Source organism: Homo sapiens, chromosome 20 (assembly GCF_000001405.40).
Source record: "Homo sapiens chromosome 20, GRCh38.p14 Primary Assembly".
NCBI lineage: Eukaryota > Metazoa > Chordata > Mammalia > Primates > Hominidae > Homo > Homo sapiens.
The window spans coordinates 7,845,963-7,867,887 of record NC_000020.11 but is presented as its reverse complement, the minus strand read 5'-3'; the positions used below and the strand labels follow the sequence as shown (position 1 = coordinate 7,867,887).

At 39.3% G+C, this 21,925-nt stretch overlaps 1 pseudogene, besides 4 other annotated features; it reads right to left on the bottom strand.

Moving 5' to 3' along the window:
* HSPBAP1P1 (HSPBAP1 pseudogene 1) lies at positions 272 to 559 on the bottom strand (annotated as a pseudogene).
* Positions 10,286 to 11,485: an enhancer, noted in NCBI's record as "MED14-independent group 3 enhancer chr20:7837050-7838249 (GRCh37/hg19 assembly coordinates)". NCBI's record gives its function as "activates an origin of replication core promoter dependent on BRD2, BRD4, P300/CBP and CDK7 cofactors, and independent of MED14, by STARR-seq in HCT116 cells {active_cell/tissue: HCT116}" and the evidence as "EXISTENCE:reporter gene assay evidence [ECO:0000049][PMID:35650434]".
* Positions 10,859 to 11,059: a silencer, noted in NCBI's record as "peak4140 fragment used in MPRA reporter construct". NCBI's record gives its function as "represses an SCP1 promoter by STARR-seq MPRAs in K562 erythroleukemia cells {active_cell/tissue: K562}" and the evidence as "EXISTENCE:reporter gene assay evidence [ECO:0000049][PMID:32103011]".
* Positions 15,915 to 16,415: an enhancer, noted in NCBI's record as "NANOG hESC enhancer chr20:7832120-7832620 (GRCh37/hg19 assembly coordinates)". NCBI's record gives its function as "activates a minimal SCP1, AML or CMV promoter by ChIP-STARR-seq in naive H9 embryonic stem cells {active_cell/tissue: H9 hESC(naive)}" and the evidence as "EXISTENCE:reporter gene assay evidence [ECO:0000049][PMID:30033119]".
* Positions 16,416 to 16,917: an enhancer, noted in NCBI's record as "NANOG hESC enhancer chr20:7831618-7832119 (GRCh37/hg19 assembly coordinates)". NCBI's record gives its function as "activates a minimal SCP1, AML or CMV promoter by ChIP-STARR-seq in naive H9 embryonic stem cells {active_cell/tissue: H9 hESC(naive)}" and the evidence as "EXISTENCE:reporter gene assay evidence [ECO:0000049][PMID:30033119]".

Here is a 21,925-nt window from a genome sequence, read left to right as displayed (position 1 = left end):
CCCATCATGTAGGTAACATTTCTACAGAGACAAGGAGAGACCAAATATTGAGCTTTGAATAAAACATACTGATGAGGAAAGTCAAAAGGAGAATATTGGACATTGATACATACATTCTTTATCTATAAAAACATGTCTCACTCTTTACATTCACTAATCATTGGGGATTGATTGATTAGCTGTTGTGCTGTTGACGTTTTTGCTGTTCCATTTTTTATTTCAAAATCATACATTTTTAAAATATTATTTAAAAGTCATTTTCTATTAGAATCACAAACCTTTTTCTTGTATCAAAAGTTGTGCCACAATCCTGGTTACTTTTGGATTCACCAAACAGTCTAGCAGTCATCTGTAGAAATGAATGCTTGAGAGGGGGCTGTAGTACTATTTGAATCAATTTGTTCCACAATTGCATTATCACTGTTACTCATCACTTGTTGCCTCTTGGCACAATGCAATTTTCAGAAGTGTTGTTGACAAAGTCTTTACCACCACTTTCAAAGATGCCTCCTGTTTCTGAAGGTGACTCTTCAGACCTCTGTGTTACGGGGACCAGATCCAGGAAGCTCAAAGACATATGGTTATGCTGAGCCCAGAACAGGTTTTGTTTGTTCCTAGACACTGATGGCTATTTGCTGTTTGTTACCCTACGGTCTCTTCCATTCACAATTCACCTTCTACTAAAGTTTTATTTGAGTGACAGACCCTGGAAGATGAAAAGATTCCAGATTTTAAAGCATTAATTTGTGAGGAATCTGGACGACAGAAAGACCAGCTCCATCCCAGACCTTATGGCAGGCACAATTTTCATTCTTTTTATATCTCATCATTGAGGACCTATTTGAAATCTTATTCAAAACTGTTTTCCAGCATCTCTCTCTAACACCTGTCCAGATGCTAACAAAGCAGTAGAACCAGGTCAAATCGATGGTTTTTTTCTCTGCCCTTCACACAATAAATGCCTCAGGTATCTGTCTAGTGTTTGATATTAAAAATCCCTGACCCCATCATATCCATTGATATATACTACCAATATTTTGAGCTGCTAGCATATTTGCCTGTTACGTCAAGGCATCTGAAAGTTTAAAGCTTGGCAAAGCAATGTTTTTCTTTTTCTTCTTCTATAATCCTAGGGTAAACATTAAGCAGACAGCATTTCTGCTTTGAGCATTAAAGGAAAAAAAAAGACTGAATTTGAAAAGCCTTCTAGTACACTTTGGGGATTTCGGAAAGTGTCGTTTGGCTGGGAGCTGAGTGGAGAAGCTGCCATTCTGTAGATGGGATAGGAGGAAAGCCGCATGGCCTCATTCATAACTTCACAGCTACTGCAAATATCAGCTGATGAATATTTATGTTTTCCCTGGCTTAGGCCCGAAAGGCAAACAAGGGAAAAAAAAACGAAAGTTAGGAAAAGGTCGTCTGAACTCTGTGGGATTTTTTACCAGCACTTTCCATGCGCGAGCCGTAGCCCTGAATGAAGTCATTCTGTACAGGGGCCCGGCACAGGAAAACACAGTCTGTTCATTAGCTCCCCGCACTTTGTTTGAACCTTGTACATTCATGGGGTCCTGAAAGGGAAACTCCTTTTTAAAAAAATCAAACACACAGGATATAGAGCTACCTTATTATTATTTTGGTAAATTATTGCAAATTGCTCCTCATCATATAGTGACCTCAGTGGTTCATTGAAAGAGCAAGTCAGTGAAGGAGAGTTTAAAAAAAATTATATATTTTTTAAAGAGGGCCATTCCAGTTCAGGTTAATATTTTACAGAGTTACAGTTTCTAAACATATTTTAAAGTCTATATAAATAATATCAATACATTACTACATATCGTAGTAGAGCAAATTATTTTTTAAAAATGTACTCTAGATTTTAGTCTTATTTCAGGAAAAATAGCCTTTAAGCCCCACTGTAGAAGAAATAATCACGTCTTGATCACTTGGGTTTATTATTTAAATTCTGTTTTCCTCCTTTTACTTTTTCTTGGCCCATCAGTACTGCTTTCACCCTCTGCTGCCATCACTGCCACAGCTAGGTTGACCTGAGGCTATGGAAACAACACAAAAACAATTAACAAGATGAGGGATTTTTCTACTTGCCAATATTTCCATTATCAGTTTTGTTTCAGGAGAGGAGGCTCAAAAATTTGGCTGAAGTGAAATTTGTGACTGCCTTATGGATTTCAGTGGTAGATACATCATGCAATTTTCTAACATTCATAGAGAGGCAGGTGTCCTCAGTGGGGATCCCCAGAAATGTTCCCCTGTGATGAGAATGGGTGCCTAAGACTCATGAAGGAAGTACTTCCAGCAGACATGGGGAGGTGAGAGGGAGGAAACCAGACACAGAATGGAAGATGACAAGCAAAGGAAATGCCCAGCCTCAGCTGGGTCCTGCAAGGAGCTCTGCGGTATAGTTTTACCCAAAAGTTCGTTCCCATTTGAGGGTAAGGGCTGTCCATTTTTGGAGTTTGGTGTGGGGGGTGCACTGGGTGACCAGCTGTCCTGGTTTGCCTGGCACCATCCTGCTTTCACACTAAATTATCTTGAGATATCTTTTAGTCTTAAGCAAACTGGAATTGTTGGTCATCCTTGAAGCCTGTAAATTCCCAGGTACTTCTGACTCCCTGGGCAGCAAAGTGGCTCCAGTTGCCCAAGATCAGTCTTCTGAATGGAGTCACAGGTGCAAGCCATGTGAAACAAAGTCCACTAAAGCTTGTGGATGGGCATACAGACATGACAAGAGCCTCTGAATGGAGCTCAGCCATCTTCCCTGTAGCAGGTACTATCCTCTACCCAGTTTTCTAAGAAACAACATGGGGTCGATGGAGACTATTGTAGATGTGGGATTGAGGGCAGGAGTTGCAGATGAGGAATGCATTTCATTCTGTACGTCAAGTTCTTAGTCCTAGTGGGACTTAAGGACTATGATATGTAGGTTCAGGACTAGTCAAGATTTCCAAGCAGATTTATAGAGGGCATTAGCACTGAATTAAGTTGGCTACGAATCTGTAAGTGTGAAATTCACAGAGTGGACTTGAACAAAATCTCTGTAGTTATCAAGTGGGTAGGAGGTAATGAAGCAATTGCCCATCAGTGAGTCTCTCTCAACATGCTGCTTCTCTGGCCACTATGAGGTTCAGTTTTGGAAGTGCATGACATATATGTAATGAAAATTGAGGACATGGCGAATGTAGCTTCAAAGAGGATATAATGAAAATGAGAGTGAACATTCCCTAGCCCTGCCCAAGACAGGTGGAATCCCACATTTCTTTTGATTTAACTTCTAAGAGTTAACAATAACTACCCAAAATAAATAGCGAATATTAGTCAAAATTTACCTTTTTCTTGTCCTCTGTTCTTGCCTTCTAAACATAAGGGTGAGATTTTTTTTTGTTGTGTTTCTCTCTTGGCTTATAAATATAAAATACAGTGAGTGAGAAGTTGGTCCATTGACTAGCTTGGGCAGACATACTTGGTAATAGTTGCATGTATTTAACTTTGTGTGTTGGCAGTGATAACAACCTCAAGTTTCATGCTTGCTTCTTGCATTGTTTTGCCCAGTTTTTCAAGTTCCTTATGGAGCAGCTCACGTAGAGGATTTATTGTAGGAGTGCTTTCTTCTGCCCAAAGCAATACATTATCCACATGAAAGGATATCTCACACAGCCCCATGCTGCATTACTGCAGAGGAGAAACGAGGACCTGAAGAAATTGTTTCTAGCTAAATAGCTGTAGAAGAATTGCCCAAACAGTAAACATAGTACCCAGTAGGTAGTATTTCAATTCTTTTCTCCCCTTTTTCCCTCCTCCCTTTTGGAATCTCCCGTGTTTATTGTTCTCATCTTTGTATCTCTGTGTGCACAATATTTAGCACCCACTTAAAAGTGAGAACTTGCAGTATTTGGTTTTCTGTTTCTGTGTTAATTCACTTAGGATAACGGCCTCCAGCTGCATCCATGTTGGTGCAAAGGACATGATTTTGTTCTTTTTTATGGCTGTGTAGTATTCCATGGCGTATATGTACCACACATTTTCTTTGTCCAATCCACCACTGATGGGCATCTCGGGTGATTCCATGTCTTTGCTATGGTGAATAGAGATGTGATGAACATACAAGTGTAGGTGCCTTTTTGGTAGAAGAATTTATTTTCTTTTGAGTGTGTACCCAGTAATGAGATTGCTAGGTCAAGTAGCAATTCTATTTTTCATTCTTTCAGAAATCTCCAAGCTGCTTTCCACAGTGGATAAACTAATTTGCATTTCCACCAAAGTATATAAGCATTCTCTTTTCTCTGCAACCTTGCCAACATCTGTTATTTTTTGACTTTTTGATAATAGCCATTCTGATTGTTTTGAGGTGGTATCCCATAGTGGTTTTGATTTTCATCCTTCCGATGATTAGTGATGGTGAACATTTTTTTCATGTTTCTTGACCACTTGCATGTCTTCTTTTGAGAAGTGTCTATTCGTGGCATTAACTCACTTTTTAATGGGATTCTTTTTTCTTGTTGATGTGCCTTTTCCCCATTGTTTATTTTTGTCGAATTTGTTGAAGACCAGATCATTGTAGGTGTGAAGAATCTATTTCTGAATTACTTATTATAAATATTTTGGAAGGGCAAATACTGATGGTTGAAGACATACAAATTCACTAAAATTGAGAACGATAAAATTATGACTAGGCTATTAAAGTTATAGAGAGGTGAATTTATGGCATGGTAAAAGAATAATATTTATTGAAACACCATCTTAAAAATGGCACAGATCAAAAATATGGCTAGCTTTGCAACATTTTAGTTCTCATTTCATTACAGCTTTTGAGGTCTGAGGGAGAGCTTACCTAAGCAATTAAGCTACTGGTTAAGAAATTTTGTGTACATCTTAAGACTTTATATGACTGATGAGAGTTATTACTCAAGTACATAATACGAATGAGGATTTTGAATTGCAGCACATTGTAGGCAGTAAATAAAGACTTGCTGAATGAATGGATATTTTTTCTACCAATGATGAACTTCGATGCAAAGAAATGGCATGACTAAATGTTCAAGATATTTCTGTTGCAGGAAATTCATAAAAAGTAAGAGTAACTATCTATTTCTAAAACAACATCTATCAGAAATCAGTCTGGTCAGATTCTACCTTCAAATGTACAATGTCAGAACTAGAAAGGTTATGAAGACTAACACACTTTACTTTTTACCCTACTGACGACATTCTCTGAAAATTCAGTTTTCTTGAATGTCACTCTAATACCAAAGTATTTTCCCCAATTAAAGACCAAGTAATTATGTCATTTAGGGATAGCATTTTCTCTAGATAAAGTTTGGCCTCTCTGTTTTCACTTAACACCAAATGGATTACTTCAAATGGATAGCTACAGATCAATTAAATCAAGCTTTGAATTTTTAAAAAGTTTTACTGAATTTTTATATTTTCCAAGCATAATCTTCATCATGTGGCGAAGCTTTAATTACAAGATTACAGAAAGCCAAAGACTTCTAAGCCTTTAGGGCTTTGCTCATATTTTCTTCTCTTACTGCCCATTTTCCTCAATCAACCTGGTGAATGGATGGTTAGTGGACATAAACCAGGTTAATGCTTATGCCCTCATAATTGTTTTTTCTTACTGACCATGCTCTATACCCCTCCCTTTGGTGACCCTGCCTTCCTCTCTTGTGCTCCTGAAGCTTCCCATCATCATTCTGATACTATTGTGCCATAATTTCTGACTTTATGTATCTATATATCCTCCCTAGGATGGTGAGCTGTTTTAGGATAGTTCCTTTGTCTTTCGATTCACCACAATAACCTGAGTTTATTTTTAGCACAATACCTTACATAACAGACATATAGAAAATAATTGTTAAATAGGCAAATTTTAATAGTGGACTAGAGACCTTGGGAAGCAGCAAGGAAACCACTGATTAGATAAATATTAATGTGGCAAACTGGCTTTCATTGTTGTGAGGGTTCTTAACAGTTTTTCTCCCACTTCTCGCTGATTTACTATCACTCCTGGCATCATAAATTCAAGTCAATAAATGTTCTGCATATATGGGGCAACATTTGAACTCTTTGGAGCAGAGATGTCATGTAGGTTGTAGGAACAAATGTATGGCTCCATGAAGGTTGATAGGAATGTAAATTTTAAGCTGGAAAAGAAAGAGACAGCACTCAGAACTGTATATTCACTTATTTGTATTAGGTGAGCTACCAGAAAAAATTTTTAGAGGCATTTCATATGGATAAAAATTCATGTTAAAAGCATCTTCAAAGATTGCAACAAATGTACGCCCAATCCACTGTCCATATTTTTTGAGACAGGATCTTGCTCTGTCAGATAGCCTACAGTGCAGTAGAATGGTCATAGCTTCCTACAGCCTTGAACTACTGGGCTCTGGCAATCCTCCTGCTTCAGCATCCCAAGCAGCAGCTGGGACTACAAACATCAGCCACCAGGGCTGGAAAAATTGTATTTTTTGTAGAGATGGGGTCTCACTTTGTTCCCGAGGCTGGTCTCAAACTCCTGGCCTCAAGCGAATCTCCTGTCTTGGTTTCTTAAAGTGGTGAGATTATAGGCATGAGCCACTGTGCCTAGCCTTACTCTGTATAACAAATTTTGATTCTTAAAATATTCATAATGTAACCAACTATTCATATTGGACTAAAAACTTACCAATTAAGTTTCCATTATTTAAAAATATAGGATATTTGAGGCAGGAGTCACTATTCATTTTATTTTCTATATTTCCTTTTTTTTTTTTAGAACAAATTCACTTATATAAACAAATAGTGTATGAGGGTAGAATATACTTTTAATTCCATGCTTTTGAAAAATGTATTCCGGACTACAGACCATTTTAAACATTTTTTTTGATATCATCTACATACAGCAAAATTTACTCTTTCTGTTGTACAGCTCTGAGAATTTTTTCTGTGATCACACCTAAAGGAATTATAAATGCTCATACACAATTTTATATTGTTCTGTTTTGTTTCTTGAGACAGGGTTTCTCTCTGTTGCTCAGGCTGAAGTGCAGTGGTACGATTACAGCTCACTGCAGCCTTGGCCTTCTGGGCTCAAGTGATCCTCCAATCTCAGTGCCCCAAGTAGCTGGGACTACTGGTGCACACCACCACTTTCTATTTCTTAATTTTTTGTACAGATGGGGTCTTGCTATGTTTCCCAGGCTGGTCTCAAACTCTTGGGCTCAAATCCTCCTGCCTCAGCCTCTCAAAGTGCTGGGGTTACAAGTGTGAGCCACCACAGTTGGCCCAGAGTTTTTTTAAAAACATAAATTTTCCTCACTTTTGCGTAAATACCTAGAAGTAGGATTGCTGTGTCATATAGTAAATGTATATTTAGCTATATAAAGAAATTGTCAGACTTTTGTAAAGTGGTTGTGCCATTTTTTTTTATTATACTTTAAGTTCTGGGATACATGTGAAGAATGTGCAGGTTTGTTACACAGGTATACACGTATGATGGTGGTTTGCTTCACCCATCAACCCGTCATGTACATTAGGTATTTCTCTTAATGCTCTCCCTCCCCTAACCCGCCACCCCCCGACAGGCCCCAGTGTGTGATGTTTCCCGCCCTGTGTTCATGAGTTCTCATTGTTCAGCCCCTACTTATGAGTGAGAACATGAAGTGTTTGGTTTCCTGTTCTTGTGTTAGTTTGCTGAGAATGATGGTTTCCGTGCCCGGCTAAGGTTCTATAGTTTTTACTTGGGTTTATAATACATATTGAATTTTTATACAAGGTGTATAAAAATTTCACACAAGATGTGAACTATGAGTTGAGGTTACATAGTTTTTGCAAAATTGTTTCAACAAAGTTTGTTGTAAAGATTATCATTTCCCTATTGAATTGCCTTTGTACAAAGGTAGAAAAATAACAGACTCAACGTATGGGTCTATATCTGCACTCTCTAATCAGTTCCTTTGATATATGATGATTAATTTCTCAAATTCTACAGCAGGATAGCTCTTTTTTAAACCTCAAAAATGTGAAAATAATTTTCCTTATAAATAGGAGACCTGAGAGCCTTTTGTATCCTTGGCGAATTCAGCTAAACTTTCTGGGCTCTGTTTCTTTATCTGTGGAATGTGGAATTGCATTAACGGAAATCTGAAGTCCTGTTTTTTCTTTCTTTTCCTCTTCCCTTCTTTTCACTTTCCTCTTCCCCTCTTTTCACTTTCCTCTTCCCCTCTTTTCACTTTCCTCTTCCCCTCTTTTCACTTTCCTCTTCCCCTCTTTTCACTTTCCTCTTCCCCCCAGCCTTCTCAGCCCTTCTCATCCTTTCTCTCTACCTTCTTCCCCCACCCCCATATTCTTTCTCTGTCTGGTCAGTAGATGGTGCTGTGCTGCAAGACATGTATTTGCTGGTTTCTTAAAACTTTTAAATATCACATTATGTCATCTGTTAATTCTACGCCTTATGACTACACTTTGAGAGCTGATCCTTAAATTGTTAATGGAACAACGATGTTCACACCCCTCCCTCTTTGAGAAGCTAAACCCCAGGCATGAGTTGGCTACTTAAACTAGGTACACTTTTTCACTGGAAACTTTGTCAAGAGATAAAGGCCTTTGATTAAGAGGAAATATTTTTTAAAAGCAATAGTGGGTAGTGACCCTGAAAACCCCAAATGTCCTTCAGCCCCATGTGTGACATTTGAGTTGGTGTGTGTTTACCCAAGGGCAAAAAATGGATGGCCATGAAGGACATAGGATAGGAAGCCCCTTTGCTCAAAATAAAATCCCAAGGTTAATTTGTTTGTGAATCACAGAGCCAGCTGTCTGTCCTGGCCCAGTATGACTTTTGTGGTGACAGCTGTTTCTACCAAGATTTGACGAGTGGGAATGAGGGCAGAGCTGGTGGTTGCGAGATGGGATGGAAGTGGGAGATGGATTGCAAGTATGGACTCTGGTTTCTTTAAAAAGGAAACCCATGGGTTTTTACATATTCTCAATTGAACTTGTAGTTCCTTTAGTTGCGCATAATGCTTTTACTTCCCGGGAGAGAAGAGGTGGGTGTGCATGGTTAGTTGTTTCTTCATGTCCCCTTAGGTTACAGTTTAATGATGGGTGTTTCATTTTCCAAAAGTTTAGCAAACTGTGAAGGTTTCCATAAAGGGCACTATATTTGCTTGCAAAAATCCAGTCTTTATTCCTCTGGCCCCAAAACCCTGAGGTACTGTGGACTCAAGTTTCTTAGAGCCTGATTGTTAAAATACCAAATGAAAGGCACTTCTTGGGGTTTATGGCATCATCCTGGTATTTCCATGTATAAATAATAATAATGTTCATTTGATAGTGCTTTATGGTTTCGAAAAGTAATTTTACCAACATATGCAATTATGCCTTTGCTTAGAAAGTAGATATTTGAATTAGGGCATTGGAGGTCAAAGCCAGAGAAGATCAGTGAGGAAGAAACACGTAGGTTACTGATGACTTCTATCCTCATTTAGGTCTCCAATTGGGTGTTTCAAATTAACACAATTGAGCTTCTACATCCATCCCCTAGCCACTCAATTTCCTATCTCCTCCATCTGGATACATGAAAATACCATCCTTTTATTTGCTCAGCCCCCAAGCTTTGGAGTTGTCTTTGATTCTCCTCTTTCTTATTCTACACCTGAGCTACAAGCAAAACCTGTTGGAATTACCTTTAAAATACAGTGTATTCAGAATCCGAAAACTTCTCACCACCTCCATTGGTACACCCTGGTCTGATCCACTATCATCACTTACATGAATTAGGACAAAAGTTTTCTAATAGATTCCCCTGCATCAGCCCCTGTCCACACTTTAATTTAGGCACAGCAGCAATAGAAATGCTGTTAATAGGTAAATTGGACCTTGTCAAGTCTTGGCCCAGAACCCTTTAAAGGCTTTTCGTCTCACATTGAGGAAGTGCAAAGACATTACAGTGGCCTACGCAGTCCTGTGTGATGTGACCTCTTCTATACTTTGGGATCCTATTTCCTATCACTGACCCTCTCTTACTCACTCCTGTTCTCCTGACTCCTTCTCAGATGTTCCAGGGGTGCTCCTCTCTTAGGATCTATTTACTTGTTCTTTATCTTTGAATGCTCCTCCCCCAAATATGATTCTCACTCTCATATCCTTCAGATCTTGAATCAATGTCACCTTCTTACTGTGGCCTTCCCTGGCTGCTTAACTTAAAATTGGACCCTCTCTCACATTTTCTGATCCTTTCCTAGCTTAATTTTTTCTTCAGCACTTATTACAAACATAATCTGCACTTAATTTGTCTTGCTTAACTTTCTGGAATATAAATTTCATGTGGGCAGGGATTCTTGTCTATTTTATTCATTACTCTACTTCCAAAGCCCAGAGGAGTGCTTGACACAAAAGGAACACTCAATAACTATGACTAAATACATAAATGAATGTATTCTCCACCTTGTTTTCATGGTATGTGTGAGGCTTTGCAAGTACCAACCACCAAAGAAAAAGACTAATGCTTGATTAGATTCTTGGAGAGTAAAACTCAATGCTCCACCATCACTTTGTGAAAAGTAACAGTTTCATGGTCTAAATTATAGATTCTGACTCAGTAGGTCTGGGAGTCCATATTTATGTATTCCTCAAGAAATTTTAAATCTTAACCAGATCTGGGGGCCCGTTTGTCTAGAGAACAGTTTACCTTTAACTCAACAAATATTTATTGGATATATTCTATATTCCAGAAATTATGCCAGGAAATGGCCCTGCACTGAAGTCTGGTAGGAGAGACAGATGTGTAAAATTACACTTGCCATGTAGTATAATAAGTGCTTTCCTAAGGCATTTATTAATTGCAGGGGTTGTGAAAGACGAAAGAAGAAATCATCTGAAATGGATCTGAAGAGTTCTCAGAGGAAGTGACTCATGTTGAAGAGGAAGTGACAAAGCAGGTAAGGAATATAGGGCACTGTAGTTAGGAAAACATCTTGGCCTCTGAGTTCAAGACGATTGCCAGGTTCCTGAGTCATGCCTTATACCAATGAAGGGGGCAAAGTTAGACAGCCATCTATTTTTGCAAGAAGTTCCTATCTCTTTTTATAGCCCTCTCTTCCAGGTGTCTAGGACTTTAACTGTCTTGAGAGAATAAAAATACATTTCTGGCTTATTTATCTGGTTCTCCTTTAAAAAGAGTATAATGAGATCCTTTCTAATACTGAGTAGCTAATGATTTTCTGGGGTGTTCACATTTCAACAACAAGGCAGCCTTTAATAATAAAAAACAATTAGGCAGGTATCAGTGACAAGCCAGCAAGCAGATATTCTTTTCGGCTGGAATCTTCAATTTTCCTTGAGTCATATCACATGGGAAGGACCTTAAGGTTGGTGCTAGAATTGGTCTGCAGTAATTCTCTGCCAATTCATCACAATGCTGGGGGAAATGATAACCACTCTTGTCTCTTCCAAGCTTTGCTATAGGTCTTAGACCAATGCCTTTGTTTTTCCGTGCTGCAATTACTCAATTTTTAAATATCATATTTGTGTAGAGCATTGTACTCTGTTCATTTATATTAGTCAAGGAAAGTAGTGTTTGCTGCTATGACACACAGTCCCCAGGTCTCAGTACCTCAACACAATAAAGTTTTATTTTTTTGCTTGTATCATGTTCCAATGTGAATTCCAAGAAAATGGGGATGGGTCTGTTGTTTGGACAGGAGCCTCTGCTTTGTGCATCCATTCAGAGATAAAATTATTTTCATAATGGGGCTCTGCAAGATCCAGTCGTGCTTCAAAAACTGGCCTGACATCTTCCAGATAGCAGATGAGGAGCAAATGAAACAGGACCTCACTTTAACATGCCTTAAACCAAGAGTCAGCTAATTTTTTCCGTAAAGAATAGTACATATCTCAGGCTCTGAGAGCCACCCAATCTCTGTTAAAAACTACACAGTTCTGCTGATATAGTGTGAAAGGAGCCTTAGACAATATGTAAATGAGTAGGGTGGCTATGTTCCAATGAAACTTTATTTACAAAGACAGGTGATTGGCCACATTTGCCCTGTAGGCTATAGTTTGCAGACCCCTGCATTATACCAAAAGGTATGTCTTCCATTCACATTCCATTGGCAAAAAACAGTCATATGTCCCCACCCAGATGCAGAATGTCAGGGGAATGTACTTTGGCTGTGTGCCAAGAAACTGGTGAGAATTTAGCCAGTCTCTGATGCATCATATATTAGGGGTAGGATGTTCATTGATTATTTCCCAGTTGGTGGACGCACTGTTCTCTACTTCCAACTTGTTCAAGGTCAAAAATTTTCCTTTAGAAGACATGATCTCACAAGTTTTCTAAGCTTCTTTATCCTTTATTCTGGGGAACAATGAGGATGGTTTGCTGAAAGTGGTCGTGAAAGATCCTATGTAGACCAGGTGGGAGAGTTTGCTCCCAGGAAAAAAATAAGTATTACCTCAAGTAGGTGATTGAAGTACAACATGCTATCCACTGGTAACAAGTAATCATAACTGGATGGCAAGGATAAGAATCACTCTGTGTTAACTCCACTTTCAAATTCAGCCAGGAGCTAAAGCTCTTCTATGTATTGGTTTCCTTTTTGTCTTCTTCCAAAGTCCCTGGAGATGGATGAAAACTTTGCTCTGCAAGTATGCATTCAAAAATCTAATTATACCAGCAGTAATTGAGTATGTGGTAATCTGATTCCTTGCATCTCTAAAGGCCTCCTACTTGATCTACTGTGAACTCAGAAATAAAGGGTTCTAACAATAGCCCTGTAAATTAAGCAGAGCAAACATTTGGCTAAAAATAAGGTGAGGGAAGGCTTACTATATAGGAGTTACAAATATCTCACAATCCTTGTTCTCAAACTCTCACACTTTACAATTGTTTGACAGATTGAGTGCAAGCAGTCATGCCTTCAATACTCCATGGCTCCCCTTGCATCTGGCTGGCCTAGTTACTTGTTTTGGCCAATAACATGGTAGATGTGATGGTGGAGGCTTGCATGCTCCACATTCTCTTTAAACTCTTCTGCTCCCATGTGCGAAAGCCTGGGCTAGCCAGGTGGGAGATGACAGAGAACATGGAGTAGAGATCAGCTGTCCCAGTTGAAGCCTTCCTAGTCTAGCCAGACTGGCAATGTGGCCTCCAGATGTTTGGACAGCTCAACAGAAACATGGACCAGATCAGAAGGGCTACCTAGGTGACCTGCAGATTTGGGGGTTGTTACTCAGCAATAGCTAACTGATAGTGTGTCAATTATGTATGCTTTTAGTTTTAAGAAAAGACTTGCTCACAGGGGTTGGAAAGCAGGGACTTATTTGTCTTTATAATAGGAAGAATAAAATTAGGTACAGGGCTGGTTCAGTGCTTCAACATGACATAAATGAGTCTACTGATCATATCTTCCACAACTTAGTTTGCTGGATTTCATTCTGTCATTGGTAGCAACATGGTTGCCAGATGGCTGATTTATCTCCAAAATTATAATGGTGTTCAAGGTGGTTTGAAGAAACAAGGAAAAATGGGAAAAGAATGTGATGGCTGTTCCTTTTAACCAGAGAAGTAAAAGGTCTTCTTGAATCCCCATTTCAAAAGATTTCTGATTATGTGTCATTGGGCTAAGCCATGCTATATGCCTGGAAGGTGTCTGGGAAGGAGGAAGTTGTATCTGCCGCAAGAAATCAACAGACAGATGATTGGTAGGCTACGTTTCCAGAGGATGATTTTTCAGAGAAAGTCTCACAGAGGTGGTAACTTTCGGTATGACAAAGGGCTTCTCGGGTAGACAAGATGGAAAAGGGCATTCTGCTAGAGAGAGCTGCATATTCCAAAGTACAGAGCAATGAAGGAACATACCTATATGAGAGCTTCAAATCTATAACTGAGGCTCAGAAAAGGGCAATTACTCACCAAAGGTAATTAAACTAGAGATTGAGCGAGCAGGGTCCATCTTTAGATTGTAGTCCAGGGTGTTACCACACCTGGCAAAAGTAGAATCAGTTCTTAGGACCTCAGAGTTTCTTGTTCATGTCCCCTTCATGGCCCTTATCACACTGAAATAGAGGCATCTTTTTACTAAAAAGTAGATCTAGAGGTCACATTATTAGTTGGCAAAATCATGTATATTACTCAACCTTTTGGCCTTAGTTTTTCCCAAAGTACTGCTAAAGACATCACTCAGTTACTCAGAAAAATCACCTCTGATTCACCCTGTTTATAGACATGAGGTTTTGAGATCTATTCATTTCACATCAATAATCCCTCACATTCATCCTATTGGTACCAGCCAGTATAAACCTCTATTACCTCTCAAATATCTAGTGTAATAAACTAAATATCTACCTATTTCCTCTGGCCCCACAAATCCAGCCTGCATTTGAATTTTGTGTGGCTCTTTCCAAAGCTCACTTCAGCCAGGCATGATTGGGTTCAATCCTCTGTCTCCCACTGCCTCTCTAAGTACAAATTTCTGAAAGTCACTCCAGAAATTTTTATCACTTTACCTGGAGACAGACCTCCCAACTTCAGGTTTGTCTGGGAGAGTCCCAGATGGAGGCTCTTGTCCTGGTGCCCAGTCAGGTTTAGCATTTGTTCTCACCCCTGTCACTCTCAAAACTTAACCAGCTGGGATGCAAAATTACATGACACTTTTAACTATTTCTTTTTTTATAGGCTTTATTATTCTCTGAAAGTACTGAGTTATTTATTCGAGGCACTTACACCGAACAGTCTTCTCAATGCCTGAGTTTCCCTCTTATAAGATTTAAGTGAAAATGAAAAATGCGTGTTTGCATGTGGAAAGAAGAGGGTGAGAGGTGTGAACCGGCAAGCAGGAAACAATTTTAAACTTTTACTCAACTGATGGAGACAGTGCACCAACAATTCTTATTTAAACATTGTGACTGCTTGGATGTTTTTCATTTTTATTTCATAATGTTGCTTCTACTAGTAGATGTAAAGAAAGGCATTGTTTTTCTTGGTCAAAGGAAGAATGATGATTTGCTCACTTCTTTGTGGGGGTTGAAGAATATAAACTGACAGACGTGATGAGAAAAGAGGATCAGTTCTCTTGTCCTTTTGTGTGGGAGGTGCGGGCTTGCTCTGCAAATTCATCTGGGAGATTTTTACTTGCAGGAACTTCCAGTCATCTGCAGTTTTCCATATCTGGAGAGAATCTGCTAGAACATCTATCTGTCTCAAGTCATGGGGCATGAGATGAAGGGCATCCAAGGACAAGAGTGTCACGGACTCTGAGTTGTTAGAACCCTGAGTATTTCTCCCCAAGGATGTCCTTTGCTACTCGTGGTACCTGGAGTCTTAATAACCCTCACCAATTTCCTCAGCAATACTGTGGATCACGGAAGGCTAACTATGGTTTACCATCATGCAAAGTACCAAATGCATTCCCAGTTCCAATCAGCAGACTTACACGCAAACCTGAGTAGTGTCTATGCCAGCACTGCTGTGAGAGAACTCTAGACAAAGATGGTCTAGGTCCCAAAGGCAGTCTACCTTTGCAGAGGAGGTGCACTTTCCACCTGCGAATAAGCTGGAGGCAGTTGCAATTATTACCATAGGACGAATTTGAAAAATGACCAGGAAGAGTCAGAATCATACCTGGTGTACTGGAAGTCATCCTAGATTAGAAAATTAAGTTTGAATATGAATTTAGTGCTTTCCTCAGCAGAGAAAACCAGAAATAAATAAGTTGTTGCTTGCTATCTGCTAAGAAATCATTGTTTTTTTCCTGCTTCTGGCCTCTTTTCTTTTTCTGATTCATTTATATTTTTGAAAGGGAAATAACTCAGTACATCCAGAAAACAGATACACAGGAAAGGGGATTTACCAAAGGTAACAGATGTTTTTGTACTTTTGAAGAGGTGTAAGGTTGAATCATGCCTTTTAAAACTAGAGATATGCACAGATTACCACCCTGTGGGGGTTATAGGCACTTGGGGGCTTCTTGTCAATTTAATATTTTTTTGAAGTATAATATCTCAGCAGTGAAAGGAAACAGAAGCAGCTAATTCTGAACCTAGAGGTTCTTTCCTGACCCCTTGGTACCTAGGCACAAGAGGGTGAGTTCAGGACTGAGTTAAATTCTAACTCCCTATTTCCTGTCTTTTGTTAGTTTTAATCAGACACTTAAACACACTTCAATGTGGACCTTTGTGTGGGAATGCCTTTGATTTTTTTTTCCACTCCCAAGGAATGCCAGCTAAGAGAGGGAGAAAAATAGGATAAAGTTTTAATCATATGTAATATGTATCTTAAGAAATGATGTAGTGCTTTAAAAAAAAAAACACCAAAGTGCTAGACTGGTGACCTTGCAGTGCCCTTCTCTTAGAGTTAGAGATAATCTAAACTTCAGTCTTAGAGAAAGTTGTATTCCCAGTCCTCTGAAGCATGCTTGTGTCTATGAGCAACTCCCACCACACAGGTAATGAGCCACATGGCTCCTGGGTCCATATCCTGTCTTTGTGAATGGAGGCTGAAGCTGTGGTCCGTGGGTTTGGAAAAGTGAGAGCTGTATCGTAAATGCTTCCCTTGAGTTAGCTGACCTAGTTACCTGGTCAGTCATTTCAATGGATCATCGGTTGAGTGTGACTAATGGGCCATTAGATTTGAAACGTTTTTGCTTAATGCCGTCTGTTCAGCTGCCTTCATTGGGAAAGTTCCTATTTCCACTCAAATAAGTGGAAGGGGGATGTCTGGCAGGGGGATGATACATAGGCTTTAGTTAAGGAAAATGATGGAAAAGCAAATAACAGGCAAGGATGAGTAAGAGTGATTAAAAGAGTTAAGCAATAGAGTTAACACTGTGCCCTCATGACCACATGTTTAATAGAGTGTGATACATACTTGTGATGGAGAAACCTATAAACTTATAATTACTTTATGGAAAACATACTGACTACAATGTATCAGTTACATTTTAACATATACATATGCACATATTTATTTGTAGATATATATGTAGGGTGTGCATGTGTGAGTGTGTGTATGTAAACGTGGCAACCATTTGCTTTAAAGGGCCCTATTACATTATTCTGTTCGTGTTCTAATTTAGTATTATGATTTTAACAGATACATTAATTTCACTTCCACATTGCCTTACAGCTATTGTGTTAAGTTTAATAGAAAACATTCTCTATATTCTATTAACACACAGTCAACCTATGCTATTTGGTAGTTTATGCACAGACATATTCAATAAAAATGTTCTATTACAGTGTTAAAGCATAATTTTCAAAAATAGTAAAATCATGACTCTCATCCAAATGTGAAATGAATGCATGTCAAAGATTTTATTTGACTCATTAATAAATGAGATAAATGAGGGGACCAGTAAGATCTTTTTTTTTTTTTTTTTTTTTTGAGAAGGAGTTTTGCTCTTGTTGCCCAGGCTGGAGTACAATGGCACGATCTTGGCTCACTGTAACCTCTGCCTCCCAGGTTAAGAATTCTCCTGCCTCATCCTCCCAAGTAGCTGGGATTACAGGGGTGCACCACGACGCCAGGCTAATTTTTTGTATTTTTAGTAGAGATGGGGGTTTCACTATGGCCAGGCTGGTCTTGAACTCCTGACCTCAGGTGATCTGCCCGCCTCAGCCTCCCAGGGTGCTGGGATTATAGGCTTAAGCCACCGTGCCCGGCCATGGGGACCAGTAAGATCTTGACTGGTTCAAATGAAAATCTGACTTGCAGGGATTTGTGTAATTCATTTGCATTGCTATGGGCAGGAATCATTCACATTGCTATTCATTTTCTACAACTTAACAGTCACCCCTAAATAATTTAAAAATCGCCAAGAAATTTTTATGTCACTTTCAAGACTTGAGTGCATTTTCTAGAAAATAGTTTCTATTGCCTTCTTCATTAATTCAAGTACTTTTGAGGATAAACTTATGAGTATACATGGGAGACTGGTATATATACATGCTGGTAAACATGAGAAGGTGCTTGTTCCTTAGGAGCTCAATATTTACAAAGAGAGAGGGATTCACTGAGACAACCACAGTTTATTTGATATATGCCAATAGAATCTTAATGAATCATTCTCTTATGAAGAGGCATGCGTGGCTCTACAGAAGAAATATTGTTTGAAGAGCGTCTCACTGGTTGAGACAGCAAGGCAAAAGGGGTGATGGTTAGGGGGTTGAAAGGCAGACTTTTCATTCTACCTAGAGAGAATAGAATACCAAAAGCCTCAAGGGTATAAAAAAGCAAGGCATTCTGCACAGATCAACAAAACTCCAGGGCACTATGAAGGGTCATGGCTGAGAGGTGAAGTTCTGAGATAGGAAAGGCAAACTTAACCGAAAAACCACATTGCCCTAAAGGAGGTGGAGGACTAGTGAATTTTAAGCAGGAGTGAGCTGACAACTTCCATATTTAGATTCACACTACAAAATAATGTAAATTTGTATCAGGAAAACTGGTTAAAAACATTATTACAATATACCAGAAGAGAGGATCATTACTCTGCCCCAACAGTCTAACACTTTGAGGGGCAGAATTACGTTTGTTTCTGGAGAAGGGGCTTTTCCTTCCTTTTTGCCTCATTTCTTTGCCGTTACTCTTCCCCGCTCTGCCCTCCTTTCATTTGTCACTTCCTTTTTCCATCCTTTCACTCATTTCTCCCTCCCTCCTTTCTCTCTCTTTGTGACCCCATTTCCACTAAGTTTAGTGGCCTAGGAAGCACCTGTTGCCTGTTTAAATTACTGAGATCCCTCATGTAGAATCAGAGTGATCCTGGGTGGTTCTCTGATTCTCAAGACAGTCCTGGATGAACAATAATACATTCTTACACTCTCTTATTTTAAAGTCAGTTGCTAAAGCACCATGACATCATCCTAAGCAAGGTAAAATACAACTGCAGAGTTTACTGCTTTATAATTATAACATGCCATCCAATTTTCCTGAGCCCTCTTTGAACTGGAAACCCTTTGCTCTAACGACAAGGCATTTGCAGGTCAACTCCCAGAATGGACTATTTCCACAAATGGCTAATTTAGTCTATTTGTCTTGACTTGTGCTAATTTCCTTCCAGGGGATATAATTTTTCTGACCATATTAATTTTTTTCTTTTTAGGTGGTAGTGGCGGGGAAAGATGAAGGAGAGAACTACAACGGTATTCCTAAGTGACGTCCAATAGCCTAAATTTATCACAGTTCCATCAGAACACCCAACTCATTCACTGAGAGGGATTTTATCCAAGTGTCTGCCTACATTTAACCCAGTTAAGACAATTCACATTCAAGTGTGATCAATAACAAATCCATCTAAGCTTGACCTTCTTTTCAAAGTAGGAGATTATTAACCAGCAAAAGTTTCAAGCTGAGTAAATTTGGAGTATGATGTAGAAGGAGAACACATAAGGCAACTTCACAGGAAGATGTTTGATCATTTAGTATCTACTGCATTTAAAAATAAGATCATTATTTTTTAAGACAAGAACATTATCAACAAGATCAATTCTAGGCTGGTCTAAAGCAATGATCTCACGGTAGCTGTAAAATAGTTGGCTGTGTCCTATCTACTCTAGGGTCAGTTTGTGTGTCTGTGAAATAAGGGGGCTGGACCAGGATAGGGACAAACATGAGCTGTGAAAAATCAGAAAGCTATCATCGTGTTATTCCTTTTCAAATATGACAGTAAGCACACACACACACACACACACACACACACACACACACACACTAAACCTAGCTGAAAAATGTATGCAAGTAATACATGCTCACGGTGTAAAAATGAACACCCCAAATCAGACTAAACTCCAAACTGGAAACCCTTTGCTCCAACGACAACCCTTTGCTCCAGACCATAACAACACAACATCCAATCATACACGTTGTTATGAAGTAACAGCAGAAGTTGCCTTCTACACCATTAGGACACCTAGTTCATTTCTCAAAGATAATTAAGATTAATTTCTTGCATATCTTTCCGAAAATGTTCTTAGGGCATTGTGTTAGTTAAGGTTCTCTGGGTTTCAGGCCACAAAAAATAAACTCTGGCTGACTTAAGCCACAAAAAAGAATTTACTGGAATGATGTCGGGGTATTTTGCGGAATCAAGGGAGGATTAAACCCCTTAGCCTTTGGAAAGAGTAGTCTAAAGGAAAGTTATGAGACACCCCAGCACCATGTGTCAGACAATTGCCATTAATGTGACTTCGCTACAAAGAATCCCAGCCTCGGTATTTCTGTTTTAAATTTTAAATAAGACTGGCCAAGCTAGGTTGGACCTGTGAGATGTAGTATAGCTGGATGTCTGGGGGTGAGGAGGTTAGAAGATGGTCAAATCTCATAGTGTAGAAAGTTGGGGAAACTTTCTGGACAGGGTGAAAGGGCACTTGCAAGATAGCCATCTCCATTTGCTCAGAAACAAAGCACGTATCTACACTGTATGTGTTTGAATCTGAATCTGCTATCTTTCACTTTTCAATTATCTCTGAAGTCAGGAATGCATTTTATGATTGACTCTGTCTTAGCTTTAACTAATAGTTTCTACAGACCACTTTTTCTTTCTCTGTGGCTTACAAGGTAGTGAAATTTCTCCAGCTTAGCATTCCAGTAACTTCCACACAGGTGGGAAAAATAGTTTGTTCCCTAGTCAGGTGTTCCTTACAGACATGTTAGAATTGTACACCTGGTGCTATTTTTTAGGAATTCCTAAATTGAAAACTGGAGGCTGAAATCACCTTCATAGAAAAGCCTTTTAGCTGTTACAATTAAATTAAACATTATATAAACACTATAGAGCTTATTTGAGGAGCAAAGTACAATGCTGGGTGCTGTGTGTTAGAATAAAATGAAGACATTGGAATTGCCTCCAGATAATTATAAATTGACACCATGCTTTTGGACTTCTAGCCTTCAGAACTGTGAAAGAATGAAATTTTGTTGTTTCTGGAAATTTGTGACAGCAGCCCTCAGAAACTAACACACCCAAGAAGAGGTCGCTCTCCCTGAGCGAGGCTGTACACTGTGATGAAAGCACAAAACATAGTGAAGGTTATGGGATTTTCTTTGAGATCTGGTTTTGGTGGAAGAAGGGTTGGTGGAAGAAGGGCTGTTATGTATCTGAAGCTGTGGATCTTTAGCAATTTAGTTCAAATATAGCCTGAGTTTCTGTTAAATCCACAGCTGGTGGGAATTTTCCTTCTGGTCAAGATGGATTAAGAACTTTATTTACCTGTTTAACTGAAATAATCAAAACAATCAGACTGCCAGTTGCGGTGGCTCACACCTATAATCCCAGCACTTTGGGAGTCTGAGGCAGGCTGATCACCTGAAGTCAGGAGTTGGAGACCAGGCTGGCCAATCTGGTGAGACCCTTGCCCCACCATCTCTACTAAAAACACAAAAAATTTTCCGGGCGTGGTGGTGCACTCTTGTAATCCCAGCTATTCGGGAGGCTGAGGCAGAAGAATCGCTTGAACCTGAGAGGTGGAGGTTGCAGTGAGCTGAGATCACGCCACTGCACTCCAGCCTGGGAAACAGAGTGAGACTCCATCTCAAAAACAAACAAACAAACAAACAATCAGACAAAATACATGGGTAAAAAAGTTTTTAAGACGTTGGTCACCAAGTGCCACAGAACAATGATTCTTGAGCGATAGCAAATAAATGTGGTAAGTCCTATAATTGCCACAGCTTACTGCCTTGAGAAACTTTCCAGACTCATGAGGAGAGAACCAAGGCAGGGCTTGGTGGGCAACCTGGGTAGAGGAGAGATAGCTGAAAGTCTGGGGAGACCTAGGTATTCAAACAACAGAGTATTGGAGGAGAGGAAGATATGCATGAGAATCATCCACACAAATGCATGTTGCTCTAATGCATTAATTTTCATTGAATGCCATATGGCCTACTTCAAGATAGAATACTTCACAATAACTCATCAAAGTTTAGGGCTTC